Consider the following 14,485-nt stretch of genomic DNA (forward strand, 5'->3'; position numbering starts at 1 on the left):
TCTCAGCATTATTTGAGGATTTTCCAGGGTCCGGGAGTTTTCTGAGACTGAGTGTAAATGATCCGCAGACCTCAGATGAGATGGCAGAGGAGGGTGGCAGGGAAGACTGAATTCCCAGCTGTGCACTTGGAAAACCGTGGTCAGCTGGGGCCAGTCCCCACCACCTGCCATGGCTGTGAATGGAGATAAGGTCTCTGTCCTCAAGCTGTCAGGATGACCTCAAATGAGTCTGGAGCTGAACTCAGTTCCTGACCCCAGGTCCTCGCTCTGTCAGTGCTGGGCTGGTCCAATCTCTGTACCAGGTCCTTCCACCCCGCCCCTCTGTCTATCAAAGTGAGAACTGAGAAATTCTGAAGGCTCAGAAGCTTAGACACTCAGGCTGTCAAAGAGCCCAGAGATTGGAGGCTAAAGACGGCCAGGGTTGGCGGTGCTCCTCTTCAACTCTGTGACTCTGGTGTGGCCCAGCTCCTTCTTGTAAAATAAGACAGAGAGGCCTTATTTATGCAGAGGGCCTGTATAAACCGCAGTGGACTGTGTTGGCAGTGTGAGGTTGTGTGGGAGGACAAACCACATCCTCAGGGCTTGTGTCAGTCACTCTGGACTGGATTCCCAGGGCACATGTCCTCCACCCAGCAGAAGCTGCACCTGCTCCTACCTGCGCCTCAGTACCGGCTCCCTCAGCTTGGGGCAGAAGCTTCTAAAGACTAGGTTGGAGTGCCATGGGGAGGGGCCATGGAGGAACAGAGGTGCCAGACTGCAAGTGAGGACAGCGATGGCACTACAGGGCCACAGCCTGGTTTACCTGCCATATTTCCAGTTGTCCTTCTGGTGGGTGCCCTGCCCAGGTTGCAGTTTGAAGAGTGAGCAGGAAAGGTGTCTGTCGCTCCCACATCTAGGTAATGTAAAAGCTAAACCCTCCAGGGGAACTGTAAAAGTTGGGGTACTATATGGGTGGCCTAAGCACTTGACTCCTCGGGGGAGAAGCTGGGGGTTGGGAGTTTTCTCCTGATGCGCAGCAGTGTACACGGGGTGGTGTTTGTGTGTGAATGTGTCCCAGCTTTTCCTGCCCATTTCAATGTGGAGTTTTCTCAGTTCCCCATGTGTAGGAGTCTCTCCACTAGTTTCTGGGTTTCTCTCAGATAAAACTGATTCATGTGTAGATGTTTATTTGGTGCTTCCACAAAGAGAGGAAAAGTGGAGAGCCTCCTGTAGAATTATCTTGCTGATGACAAAAACCTGGTTTTCCTGGTTTTAAACCTAACTTAGCTTCACTCATGGGTACTGTGCAGAGCTAGGTGGGGGGAAACAGACTCTGAGGGATAATTTACCTTGTATAATGGAGCAAGAATTACCAGCTCAGGGACTATAAGGAGGATTAAATGAGATGTGTGTGAAATGTACTACATACACTACCCGATGATATATAAGGTGAGTCAGGAATACAAATTTATATTTTCTGGGTTTTTTTTTGTTTTTTTGTTTTTTAAGACGGAGTCTCATTCCATCACCAGGCTAGAGTGCAGTGGTTCAATCTCGGCTCACTGCAACCTCCACCTCCTGGTTCAAGTGATTCTCCTGCCTCAGCCTCCTGAGTAGCTCGGACTACGGGCATACACCATCATGCCAAGCTAATTTTTGTATTTTTAGTAGAGATGGAGTTTCACCATGTTGGCCAGGATGGTCTTGATATTTTGACCTCGTGATCTGCCTGTCTTGGCCTCCCAAAGTGCTGGGATTACAGGCATGAGCCACTGTGCCAAGACACAAATTTATATTTTCTAATATCCTCATGAAAGAAGTACACGACATTAATGTTCATGACATTTTATTCAATGTAATATAACCAAACTTTTCTCATTTCAACATGTAATTAATGCACAATAAAGTATTAATGAAACATTTTACATTCTTTAGTACACTAAATTCTTTTTTTTTTTGAGACACAGTCTCCCTCTGTCGCCCAGGCTGGAGTGCAGTGGCGCGATCTCGGCTCACGGCAAGCTCCACCTCCCGGGTTCATGCCATTCTCCTGCCTCAGCCTCCCAAGTAGCTGGGACTACGGGCGCCCGGCACCACCCCCAGCTAATTTTGTTTTTGTATTTTTAGTAGAGACAGGGTTTCACCATGTTAGACAGAATGGTCTCAATCTCCTGACCTTGTGATCCGCCTGCCTCAGCCTCCCAAAGTGCTGGGATTACAGGTGTGAGCCACCGCACCCGGCCTAAATTTTGTTTTGTTTTGTTTTGTTTTGTTTTTGAGACAGAGTTTCGCTCTTGTTGGCCAGGCTACAGTGCAATGGGGCGATTTCAGCTCACCGCAATCTCCTCCTCCGGGGTTTAAGTGATTCTCCTACCTCAGCCTCCCAAGTAGCTGGGATTACAGGCATGCACTATCACGCCTGGCTAATTTTGTATTTTTAGTAGACACCAAGTTTCTCCATGTTGGTCGGGCTGGTCTTGAACTCCCTACCTCTGCCTCCCAAAGTGCTAGGATTACAGGCATGAGCTACAGTGCCCGGCCTAGTACACTAAATTCTTGAAACAGGGCAATCAAATTGCTCATCAAATTCAGGTTAGCCTCAGCTCCAGTGCTCAGGAATCCGGGGGCCAGTGCCTGTCATGCAGGACTCCGCAGGCCCTCAGGAGGCCCTCTACCTGATATAGGCCCTGAACTACAGCCAGGAGGGAAGGTGAAAGAGGAAGGGAAAGACAGATCGGTGTAGGGTGTTGTTAGGGGACAAGGTCGGATACAGTAGGGGGAGGAGAAAAGGGTGGGAGAAGAGGATTTAGGATTCTATTGGTCTAATGAGAAATGGCATAACTATAAGACAATCCTATTCATGATGACTACAAAGAATAAAATAGAAGGATAAACCCTTGACAGAAGCAGGAAGCTTGAGCCCAGGAGGTTGAGGCTGCAGTGAGCCCTGTGCTCCAGCCTGGGTGAGAGAGTAAGACCCTATCTCAAAAAAAAAAAAAAAAAAAAACTAAAGAAGTTTACATTACCTTTTGTCCAGGAGGGGACTTTCATAAGATTATAATCAATGACAAAATAGACATATCAATAGATTAAGCTTCTTAACATTAAAAATTCTGCACATGGAAATCTTTGACCAAATAAAATTGCAAACAAGAAAGTAGAAACCTATTATCTGCATCTGAGAAAGTGCATGGGTAGGGACCCGTATCTCAATAGGCAGGATAAAAGTTGTAAGTTATCAGTTTGAAAAGAGAATCAAACAGCTAATAAACATGTGACACCTAAGTCCAAAAATAAAGAAATGCATATTTAAGTTAATTAATTTCTTCCTAGTTTGAGAAAACAAAAACGAAAGAGCAAGCACATCAGCTCAAGACTAATGAAGTGTTGTTGGAACCAAAACTGTGCATGTGTATGTGGTGTGCACATGGGTGTGAGTGTGTTTGTGTGTGTGTGTGTGTGTGTGTGTGTGTGTGTGTGTGCAGAAAAAAATGCCTCTGGACATTAACACAGTAATTCTATTTCTTTCAGGAAGCTACCTTATGAACTTGGTCAGAAAGTTGTCCAAGATTTCTTTTCAAATACATACACAAACTTCTGGCTCTAAGTCCATCTTGAGACTGTAGACTCCCATCCTCACCTTCAGAGGGGCATTCCATGGGGTGCCCAGGGTGTGTGTTGGGAGAGAACCAGATTGGAGTCAAAGGTCAGGGAAAGGAGCACTGGCCTAGAGAATAAGTCTCTTGTAATGAAAGGCCATAGGACACAGAGCCTTATTGTGGAGTCCTAATTAGGGAAAGTGAGCCAGACTGGTGGGAGCAGGGGAAAGCAAAAAGAGAAAGCAGGTAAGCGTGAAAGGAAAGTAAATCTTGGGGGCCCCAAATCACTTAGCTAAAGGGAAAAGTCAAAACTGAAAACTTCTTAGGGTAAACCTGCCTCTCATTCTATTCAAATTCACCCTCTGCTCACTGAGATAAATGCACATCTGATTGCCACCTTTGAAAAGGCTAATCAGAAACTCAAAAGAATGTAACTATTTGTCTCTTATCTACCTATGAGCTGGAAGCCCCCTCCCCGCTTGGAGTTGTCCTGCTTTTGCTTCCAGTTAACCCACCTATTCTGGACTGAACCAATGTTCATCTTACATATGTTGATTGATGTCTCATGTTCTCCCTAAAATGTATAAAACCAGCTGGGTGTGGCGGCTCACACCTGTAATCCCAGCACTGTGGGAGGCCAAGGTGGATGGATCACCTGAGGTCAGGAGTTTGAGACCAGCCTGACCAATATGGCGAAAAACCATCTCTACTAAAAGTACAAAAATCAGCCAGGCATGGTGGCTGGCGCCTATAATCCCAGCTACTCAGGAGGCTGAGGCAGAAGCTTGAACCTGGGAGGTGGAGGTTGCAGTAAGCCAAGATCACACCACTGCACTCCAGCCTGGTGACAGAGCAAGACTCTGTCTCAAAAACAAAACAAAACAAAACAAACAAAACACCAAACTGTGCTCTGACCACCTTGGACACATGTCATCAAAACCTCCTGGGGCTATGTCAAGGGCATGCATTCTCAACCTTGCCAAAATAAACTTTCTAAATTAACTGAGATCTGTCTCAGATTTTCACGGTTTACATAAATCTGCCTTTCTTCGTGGTCCAGGACACAAAGCCCTCCTGTGCAAATAACTCACAATCTTCCCGCACTCAGCTATCATCAGACACCTGCAAGTCGGCTCACTGCAACCTTGGCTTACCAGTACTGCACAAAGCCCTCTTCAACAGTTGGCATAAACACTAGCCTATAAAATCTCCAGTAAGCCTTTGTTACTTTGCAGTCAGCTCCTCTTCTGCTGGCTTGCCCATTGCCTCCTTGCTACACATTTTCCTACTTTCTCTAATAAATCTGCTTTTTTTTTTTTTTTAAGATGGAGTTTTGCTCTTGCTGCCCAGGTGGGAGTGCAATGGTGTGATCTCAGATCACTGCAACCTCCCCTTCTGGGTTCAAGCAGTTCTCCTGTCTCAGCCTCCCGAGTAGCTGGGATTACAGGCACATGCCACCACTCCTGGCTAATTTTTGTATCTTCTGTTAGAGACAGGGTTTCACCATGTTGGCCAGGTTGGTCTTCAACTCCTGACCTTGAGTAATCCACCCGACTCACCCTCCCAAAGTGCTTGGATTACAGGCGTGAGCCACCGTGCCCAGCCATAAATCTGCTTTTCTTTACCTACAACTGTCTTGGTAAAATCTGTTACCTCTGCGCCACTGGGCCAGATACTGGTCTCTCCCCTGTGACACTTATTTACTGCTGGGTGGGATAAAGGGAAGAAGAAGAGGGAGAATGGAGAAGGAGGAAAGGCAGGGTTGGTCCAGAGAGGAGGAGAGCCGGGCTGGAGGAATGTGGAGGATGGAAATGGTAGCTCCCAGCCCCCAAGGGGCAAAGGCTGGGCCACAATTGCCCCTTTCTGTTTTCTAACCCTGACCCAAATTTCACTGCCCACATCCTTCTTAGATGTAAAAGATGCAGTCCCACGGAGGAAGGGCAGAGCCAGGAGGCAGTGGGGCTCTGGGCTCAGAGCTCAGGAGTCACCTTGCCTGAGAAAGATGTTCTAGCTGAGAGGGCCTGGCCATGGGGTGGGCTCCAGGAAAACGCTGGTTAGGTCTGGGATAGAGCAAACTTGAAACAAAGACAACCCCTGCCATGGCTGTGTGGCGCCAAGACTTGGAGATCAGGGGTTAAATCCTCATAGACAGTAGGCGGTGGCAACACAAGCAGCTCTAACTCTGGGGGAAGCCATGTTGCCCAAGCCCAGGCCCCTCCATGCTCAGCCTCCATGCAGCTCACCCAGCCCAGGGTTCCAAGTGAGGCCATGGGCAGTGCAGGCGGGAAGCAGGAGGTAGCATGGAGCAGCCGCAGCCCCACCTCCCCTCTAGGGAAGGCAGACAGCATGGGAGCACGCCTGGGCCTCCTGGGAGCTGTGGGCCAGAGGGAGAGCAGGTCCTCCAGCGCAAGGGGAGTGGGAAATGGCTCTCACAGGTGCCTGCAGGGCTGAGCAACCTGGGTCCACTGATGGGGATACAGGGAAGGGCTGCTGTCCCTCTCCCCAGAGGGAGGAGCAGACAGGAGAGAAACAGGGAGGAGGCGCGAATTCCAGTAGCCAAGAACCTGGTCCTTTAAAATCCAGGGAGTCATAGGCAGGAAACTCCCCCCACACCCCCACCGCCAGGCGGGCCAAGCCTGAAGGCAGAGAAGGGACAAGTAAGGAGGCCCAGCAGGAACGAAGCCCTGGCCTCCTGTCACTCAGAGCTGTGTCACAGCAGGAGAGGAGGATGGAAATAAACGAACACCACACCTTTTTAATATGAGGTTTCATATTTATTTTGGTCATAAACATATGAGTATTTCATATATAACCAGGTGTTATGTGCTATTTGGCCCGGGTATAAAGCAAAACCTAAACAAATCAACCAACGCCAAAAAACCCCAACAATTTCATGTTGTCAGGAAGCTTATGTTAAAGGAATAAGCTTAAACACTGATAAGGCTGGTAGTCTAGATGCATCTTCAAGGAAGGCCTCTGAGGAAGGGACAAAGGAGCTGGGACCGGACTGGCTCTCTCTGAGCTTTGAGACCAAGTCTCCTGCACAGAAGGCCCAGCAAAGGCAAAGACTAGGAGGCAGCAGCACCCTGTGTCATCCAGAAGTGCAGGGGACAAGGTGTGGGACGCCAGATGGAAGTGGGAGAGGATGGAAGTGCGAAGACCGGAAAGGCCATCCCCTCCTAAAACTCCATGGACACAACAATCTGAATGTGCGAACTTCAGGCAGTTCTAACTTTGTCCCAGCCAAACCAGTCCCGGAACAAAACACACAATGCCTTGAGATGGAAAAGACTGAAACCCCTAGAATGACTATATCCGTAATTTATCCTACCACGACTGGGCTACTGTGGAGAAGAGTTTGCTGGAAAGAAGCTAAAACGATTACTGAGGTTTTTAAATAAAATAATGGAACGTGACACAAGGACAAATGTGTCAGCCATTTTAGATCCTGTTGTCACAGTGTTTAAGAATTGATATCTCTGAGATGAGTCAGATGCTTACAGAGGGGCCAAGCTCCTCAAACAGGGAATCTGTACCCTAAAACGCAGCTCAGGAATCTCTGCCCTAAAAGGCATCCCAGGGACTCAGTTCACAGACCACCAGAAGCGAGAGGGGCCCATCCATGCCTGAGTCGGCAACCATTTCACACCATTCCCAAGCACCGTCCACTCTTCCCTCTTGATGCCATGGCAGATGCCGGGGCAGATAAACACCTGCTCTGCCCTGAGCCCAAATGAGGCTCAAGATTCACTAACGTTCAACTGTAATGGCGCTTGAAAGAGAAGCTCTTCGCAGTCTCGGATCTAACTTAATTCTCACTGTCCTCATCTGCTGTGGACAAGTCGGAAGATGCAGTCCCATGACTGTCCCAGCACGACAAACCAGACACATGGCTTCCCAAAGATACCAGGCTCTTCAAAATCCTGGGCATATGTAAACATCTACTTATAAATAAATAAATAAATATTTATTTATAAATAAATATGGCTATATACCTCTAAAATTAACAAGTAAGACAAGCTGCCCCTTGAGAAGCTGCCAGCCATCAAACCCTGGTCCAGTCTCAGGGCGCAGGAGGGAGAACTGGAATGCAGTAAGTGCCTCCCACAGAGGGAGGATTTCTCCCTCCGTCACTAGTTATATTTTTAGTCATTTTTGACTGCTGATTTGTATCCAGGCAACCCATGTAAACAGCCTAATAAGTGCATTTCCTAAAGTTTTTCCATGTTTACATCATTATACAAAAATCGGAAAAGAGATGTACAGCCTACAGTAGTAAGCAATATAAATGTTTCTCTAATTAAGGTGGGGGTAAGCCCCAATAATCCTATCTTAAAGCTCAAAACTCTAAGTCGAACCCTCGTAAGTCCATATGCTCATGACTTAGCATAGGGCTACGTCTTGATAATCTCATCATTAAGTCAAAAATATCCGAAACTGAAAATACAGGTAATAACAAGATAATCCCGTTCTAAAGTTAAAAAACTATAAGGCAAAGCATTGTGGCTGTGCGGCATCTGTAGTTAGATGTCATTAAATGCACACACCAGTAGAGATGGAGCTTGCAATATAAGAAGCAGAAAAAAAGACTTGTCTCATGATGAAGAACTGCAAAGAATGACATCCTAAAACCACTTTTTTTCTTTTTAAATTGAGATGGAGTTTCACTGTGTTGATGAGGCTGGTCTCAAACTCCCGAGCTCAAGCAATCCACCTGCCTCAGCCTATCAAAGTGCTGGGATTACAGGCATGAGCCACCGCATGTGGCCTAAAACGACCCTTAATACACAATCGTATAACTATGCAGCCAAGAATCTGATATAAATTTCTCCCGTTTGCTTATCACACGCAGTATTTCATAAAAATTACTCCAAGTGCGTTAACAAAGTTCTAGGACCATTGGTAAGCTGCCCCATATTGGATAGTAGAGTTTGTTGGGGCATGGGTCAAGTACTGGACTGTTTCTTCCAGGCTGCTTCCCTTTGTAGGAGAAAAGGTAAATGAGGGAAGCTCTGGTTTCCTGAAGAGATTCTTTCACAGGCAGGACGTAGCAGAGCCTGCCTCATCTTCTTCATAAAAGAGCTTTTCGGAGCCCACCAGTTGGTCCTGAATTGTTTCCTTTGCATGTCCTTCTTCCAGTGTTGCCGAGGCATCCAGCAAGGTGCTGACTGAGAAGAGAGAAGAGATTTAGGGTCTCAATGCTCCAAGGACGATCAGCACAGGATCGACATGGGGCCCCCTGCTTCCAGCAGTGAAACCTCCAGAAGAGCCCTCTCAGCTATAGGGACAGCAGTTAGGACACCGTCCCTATTCCCTGTCCTCCTGCTGCGTCTCAAGGCACAAAACACTTACTGTCAGCGGAGTCAGCGTCATTCACTGGAACCAGCAGCCTCCTCCTCTGACACCCTTCAGCTTCTGCCTGTTCCTGTAACACACAGTGGGGAATGCTCTGGTCAGAGTCAGGAGTCCTGCAGTCTAGTACTGACCCTGACCACTAGCCAGCAAGAGACCTGCAGCGCTTTCCCTCTTGGGTCTCCATGGAGATGGAGACAAACCTCTGGTCCTCCATAGCTCTTGGGCTCTGTGTGCTGGTGGCTCATTGAGACATAAGTGACATGCAGTAAATGCTCACTTTGTAAGTGTTCTGACCAACTTTGACTATAGGCCTGTGTAATTATCCCCTGATCAAGACATAGAAACTGCCACACCCCAGAAAGTCCCCTTCTGCCCCATCTAATCAACTCCCACCCACCCTCACAAGAAATGATCACTTCCTTCCAGAATTCTTACCAGCAGAGTCTCGGCAGACTATATATGAGAGCACCCAGGAAAACCTAACAAAATGATTTATCCCAAGACTGTAAATGATCTTTGATCATCAGTACTCTACCATATCAATAGCGTAATTAAATAAAATGGCAGTCTCTATGGAGGCTGGAAAGACATTTGGTAAAATTAAACAGCAATTCTGATTTTTTTCAAACCCTTTTAGAATAGTAAGCTGTGTTCTTGATGATGAGAATTTCTATATGAAACCAAAAGTGAATGCCATTGCTAAGAGTGACACTTTGGAGGCCTTCCCCAGAAATCAAATCAGGACCCAAACACCTGCCTTCCCTAAGCACAGCTGAATATTGTTCTGAAAGGTCTGGCCTAGGCAACAAGATGGAAAATTAAAATGAGGCAAGACTTTTGGAAGAGGGCAGACACAATAATCATTATTTTCAACGTCATTTAAAACCCCTAAGATGAAACTACAATATTGAAATAGAAATGTATGTCTGGAGGAATGTTAAAAACATAGCAAATGCAATAAATTAGCAAACAGAATTACAAGGTTATCCAACTCATAATGGATACAAAATACTAAACAGCCATAAGAAACAGGAATAATTTATTTGAAGAGGAACACAAATCACAACTCAGTTACAATAAAATACTTGACACCAAATGTTATCTCCTTTGATAAGGAAATACTGAATATTAATAAAATATTCAGTGTTTCTAGATTAATTTTTAATTTTAAAGCGAATTGATAAAACGGCAACTGAGGTTTTTCGGGAGGGAAGGATGGAGGAAATCTTTTAATTCTAAATTTTATCTGGGTAAAATAATACATTTTGAAAAAGTATGGAAGAGGTGTTTGCTCTTTTGGATGTTAAAAAACATTAGAAAGTTCCCATTGGAACATGCCTCAAAATGGTAAGAGCCATCTATGACAAACCCACAGCCAACATCATACTGAATGGGCCAAAGCTGGAAGCATTCCCCTTGAGAACTGGAACAAGGCAAGGATGCTCACGCTCACCACTCCCATTCAACATAGTACTGGAAGTCCTAGTCAGAGCACTCAGGCAAGAGAAAGAAAGAAAAGGCATCCAGATATGAAATGAAGAAGTGAAAACTCTTCATGGACGATATGATTCTATACCTTGGAAACCCTAAATACTCCACCAAAAGGCCCCTGGAACTAATAAACGACTTCAGCAAAATTTCAGGATACAAAATCAATGTATAAAAATCAGTAGCACCGGGCACCGTGGCTCACACCTGTAATCCCAGCACTTTGGGAGGCCGAGGCAGGCGGATCACGATGTCAAGAGTTCAAGACCAGCACGACCAACATGGTGAAACCCCGTCTCTACTAAAGAATACAAAAATTAACGGGGCGTAGCTGGGTACGGTGGCTCACGCCTGTAATCTCAGCACTTTGGGAGGCCAAGGAGGGCGGATCACAAGGTCAGGAGATCGAGACCATCCTGGCTAACACGGTGAAACCCCACCTCTACTAAAAATACAAAAAACTAACCAGGCGTGGCAGTGTGCGCCTGTAATCCCAGCTGCTGGGGAGGCTGAGGCAGGAGAATGGCGTGAACCTGGGAGGTGGAGCTTGCAGTGAGCTGAGATCGCGCCACTGCACTCCAGCCTGGGTGACAGAGCAAGACTCTGTCTCAAAAAGAAAAAAAATCAGTAGCATATCTATATACCAATAATGTTCAGGCTGAGGACCAAATCAATAACACAATCCCATTTACAACAGACACACACACACACACACACACACACACACACACACACACACAATACCTAGAAATACCTCTACCCAAGGATGTGAAAGATCTCTAAGAGAATTACAAAACACTGCTAAAAGAAATCATAGATAACATGAACAAATGGAAAAACATTCCATGCTCATGGATTGGAAGAATTAATATGGCTAAAATGGGCATACTGCTGAAATCAATCTACAGATTTAATACTACTCCTATCAAATTACCAATGTCATTTTCCACAGAATTGGAAAAAATTATTGGAAGTAACTGAATCACGTGGACTGGTTTTTCCAGTTCTGTTCTTGTGATAGTGAATAAGACTCACAAGAGCTGATGGTTTTATAAAGAGCAGTCCCCTGCACACGCTCTCTTGCCTGTCGCCATGTAAGATGTGCCTTTGCTCATCTTTCACCTCAGGCCATGATTGTGAGGCCTCCCCAGCCATGTGGAACTGTGAGTCCATTAAACCTCTTTTTCTTTATAAATTACCCAGTCTCAAGTATTTCTTCATAGCAGTATGAAAATGGAATAATACAACTCCCCATTCAACAGCTGATGCTTCGGATATTTGGCTAGCCATATGCAGAACAACGAAAACTAGACCCCTACTTTTCACCATATACACAAATTAACTCAAGGTAGATTAAAAGTTTAAAGGTAAGACCATGAACTATAAGAATTCTAGAAGAAAACCTAGAAAACACCCCTCTGGACATCAGCCATGGCAAAGAATTTATGATTAAGTCCTCAAAAGCAATGCAATAAAAACAAAAATTGTCAAGTGGCATCTAATTGAACTAAAGACCTTCTGCACAGCAGAAGAAACTCTCCACAGGCCGGGTGTGGGGGCTCACACTTATAATACCAGCACTTTGAGAGGACGAGGCAGGCAGATCACCTGAGGTTAGGAGTTCGAGACCAGCCTGACCAACAAGACAAAACCCCATCTCTACTAAAAATACAAAAATTAGCTGGGCATGGTGGCACGTGCCTGCAATCCCAGCAACTAGGGGGGCTGAGGAGGGAGAATCACTTGAACCCGGGAGGCGGAGGTTGCAGTGAGCTGAGATCATGCCACTGAATTCCAGCCTAGGTGACAGAGCGAGAGTACATCTCAAAAAAAAAAAAAAGTATCAACAGAGTAACAGACAACCTACAGAATGGGAGAAAATATTTACAAACTATGCATCTGACAAAGGTCTAATATTCAGGAGCCATATGCAACTTAAATGAACACACAGAAAACAACCCCATTAAAAATGGGCAAAAGACATGAACACACATGTCTCAAAAGAAGACATACAAGTGGCCAACAAACATATGAAAAAATGCTCATCATCATGAATCATCAGAGAAATGCAAATCAAAACTACAGTGGGATACCATCTCATACAGTGAGAATGGCGATTATTAAAAAGCCAGTAACAGTAAATGCTGGCGAGACTATGAAGAAAAAGGATCATTTATATACTTTTGGTGGGAATGTAAATTAGTTCAGCCAGTATGGAAAGGAGTTTGGAGATTTCTCAAAGAATTTTAAAACAACTACTATTTAACACAGCAAACCCACTACTGGGTATACATAGAAAAGAAAACAAATCTGCTGGGCGCGGTGGCTCACACCTGTAATCCCAGCACTTTGGGAGGCCGAGGTGGATGGATCACGAGGTCAGGAATTCAAGACCAGCCTGCCCAAGACGGTGAAACCCCGTCTCTACTAAAAATACAAAAAATTAGCCGGGTATGGTGGCACATGCCTGTAATCCCAGCTACTCTGGAGGCTGAGGCAGAGAACTGCTTAAACCTGGAGGGGCGGAGGTTGCAGTGAGCCGAGATTGTGCCACTGCACTCCAGCCTGGGTGACAGAGCGAGACTCCCTCTCAAAAAAAAAAAGGGAAAACAAATCATTCTACCAAAAGACACCACTATCCATAATAGCAGTGACATGGAATCAACCTAGGTTCCCATCAACAGTGGATTGGATGAAGACAATGTGGCATATATACACCATAGGTTACCACACAGCCATAAAAAAGAATGAAATCATATTGTTTGCAGCCACATGGATGAAGCTGGAGGCCATCATCCTAAGTGAATTAATGTAGGAACGCAAAACCAAATACTGCGTGTTCTCATTTATAAGTAGTAGCTAAACATCAGGTACTTACGACCATAAAGATGGCAACAATAGACACTGGGGACTACCAGGGCGGGGAGGGAGCGAGAGGAGGAAGGGGTGAAAAACTAACTGTTGGATACTGTGCCCACAACCTGGATAAAATCATTCATACCTCAAATTTCAGCATCAAACAAACTTACATATGTACCCCCTGAATCAAAATAAATTTGAAAAAGGAAAAATAAAAAATGAAAAAAAGTTTCCTTGGCAGTGTATTATATGTAAAGTAATCCCTGTAATGTAAACAAAATGTACATACGCTTGTATGAATATACATGGCATATGCATAAAGATTTCTACAAAGAATCACAAGAAATTATCTGTTGTATTCACCTGAATGAAGAAGGGCTGGGGGCTGGAGGAAGTGTTAGGGGACTACCACTATGACTCAGCACCTTTGTTTTTTTTTTGTTTTTGTTTTTGTTTTGAGATGGAGTCTGACTCTGTAGCCCAGGCTGGAGTGCAGTGGCGTGATCTCGGCTCACTGCAGGCTCCGCCTCACGGGTTCACGCCATTCTCCTGCCTCAGCCTCCCGAGTAGCTGGGACTACAGGCACCCGCTACCACGCCCGGCTAATTTTTTGTATTTTTAGTAGAGGTGGGGTTTCACCATGTTGGCCAGGATGGTCTCCATCTCTTGACCTTGTGATCCACCCTCCTCGGCCTCCCAAAGTGCTGGGATTACAGGCATGAGCCACGGCGCCCGGCCGACTGAGCACCTTTCTATAGTGTGGCAGATGTGTGGCTCTGCATTTACCACTTTCAAAAAATGTGCAGCGCGGCCAGGTGCAGTGGCTTATGCCTGTAATCCCACCACTTTGGGAGGCCAAGGTGAGAGGATGACTTGAGGCCAGGAGTTTGAGACCAGCCTGGGCAACATAGCAAGATCAGATCTCTACAAATTACAAAACAAAGGTGCAATGCGATTCAGCAGCGTGGAGTAATTGTTGATATTTTTTGTTTATTTCCTTACCTTTTTATACTTCCCTTCATTAAAAAAAATGGGGTATAGTTATAGGAAAGGAAGAAAATGGGTGGAAAGTGAACCTTGTCTAGGTAAGTATTTGACAAGTGATCAAAGAGGAGCCAAAAGCAGAGAAAAATAGGAGAATCAGTTCCTAAACAGGCGTGGAGGAAGGAGACAGTGACTCACAACAATTCAGGGAATTCCTCACT

The 14,485-nt window shown here is 45.5% G+C and overlaps 1 protein-coding gene across 1 annotated transcript in view, besides 1 other annotated feature; it reads right to left on the bottom strand.

The window, feature by feature from the left end:
• Nucleotides 555-624: a silencer, noted in NCBI's record as "silent region_19020". NCBI's record gives its function as "represses an Ori minimal core promoter by ATAC-STARR-seq in GM12878 lymphoblastoid cells {active_cell/tissue: GM12878}" and the evidence as "EXISTENCE:reporter gene assay evidence [ECO:0000049][PMID:35858748]".
• TNFRSF10D (TNF receptor superfamily member 10d) overlaps nt 6,331-14,485 on the bottom strand; it is a 28,440-nt gene continuing 20,285 nt past the window's right edge. The window contains exons 8-9 of the mRNA NM_003840.5: nt 8,931-9,003; nt 6,331-8,746 (exon numbers count right to left, since the gene is read on the bottom strand). Coding sequence (NP_003831.2) covers nt 8,613-8,746; nt 8,931-9,003 — 207 coding nt within the window. The 3' untranslated portion in view covers nt 6,331-8,612. The remainder of the gene's footprint in view (nt 8,747-8,930; nt 9,004-14,485) is intronic.

This window comes from Homo sapiens, chromosome 8 (assembly GCF_000001405.40).
Source record: "Homo sapiens chromosome 8, GRCh38.p14 Primary Assembly".
Classification (NCBI taxonomy): Eukaryota; Metazoa; Chordata; class Mammalia; order Primates; family Hominidae; genus Homo; species Homo sapiens.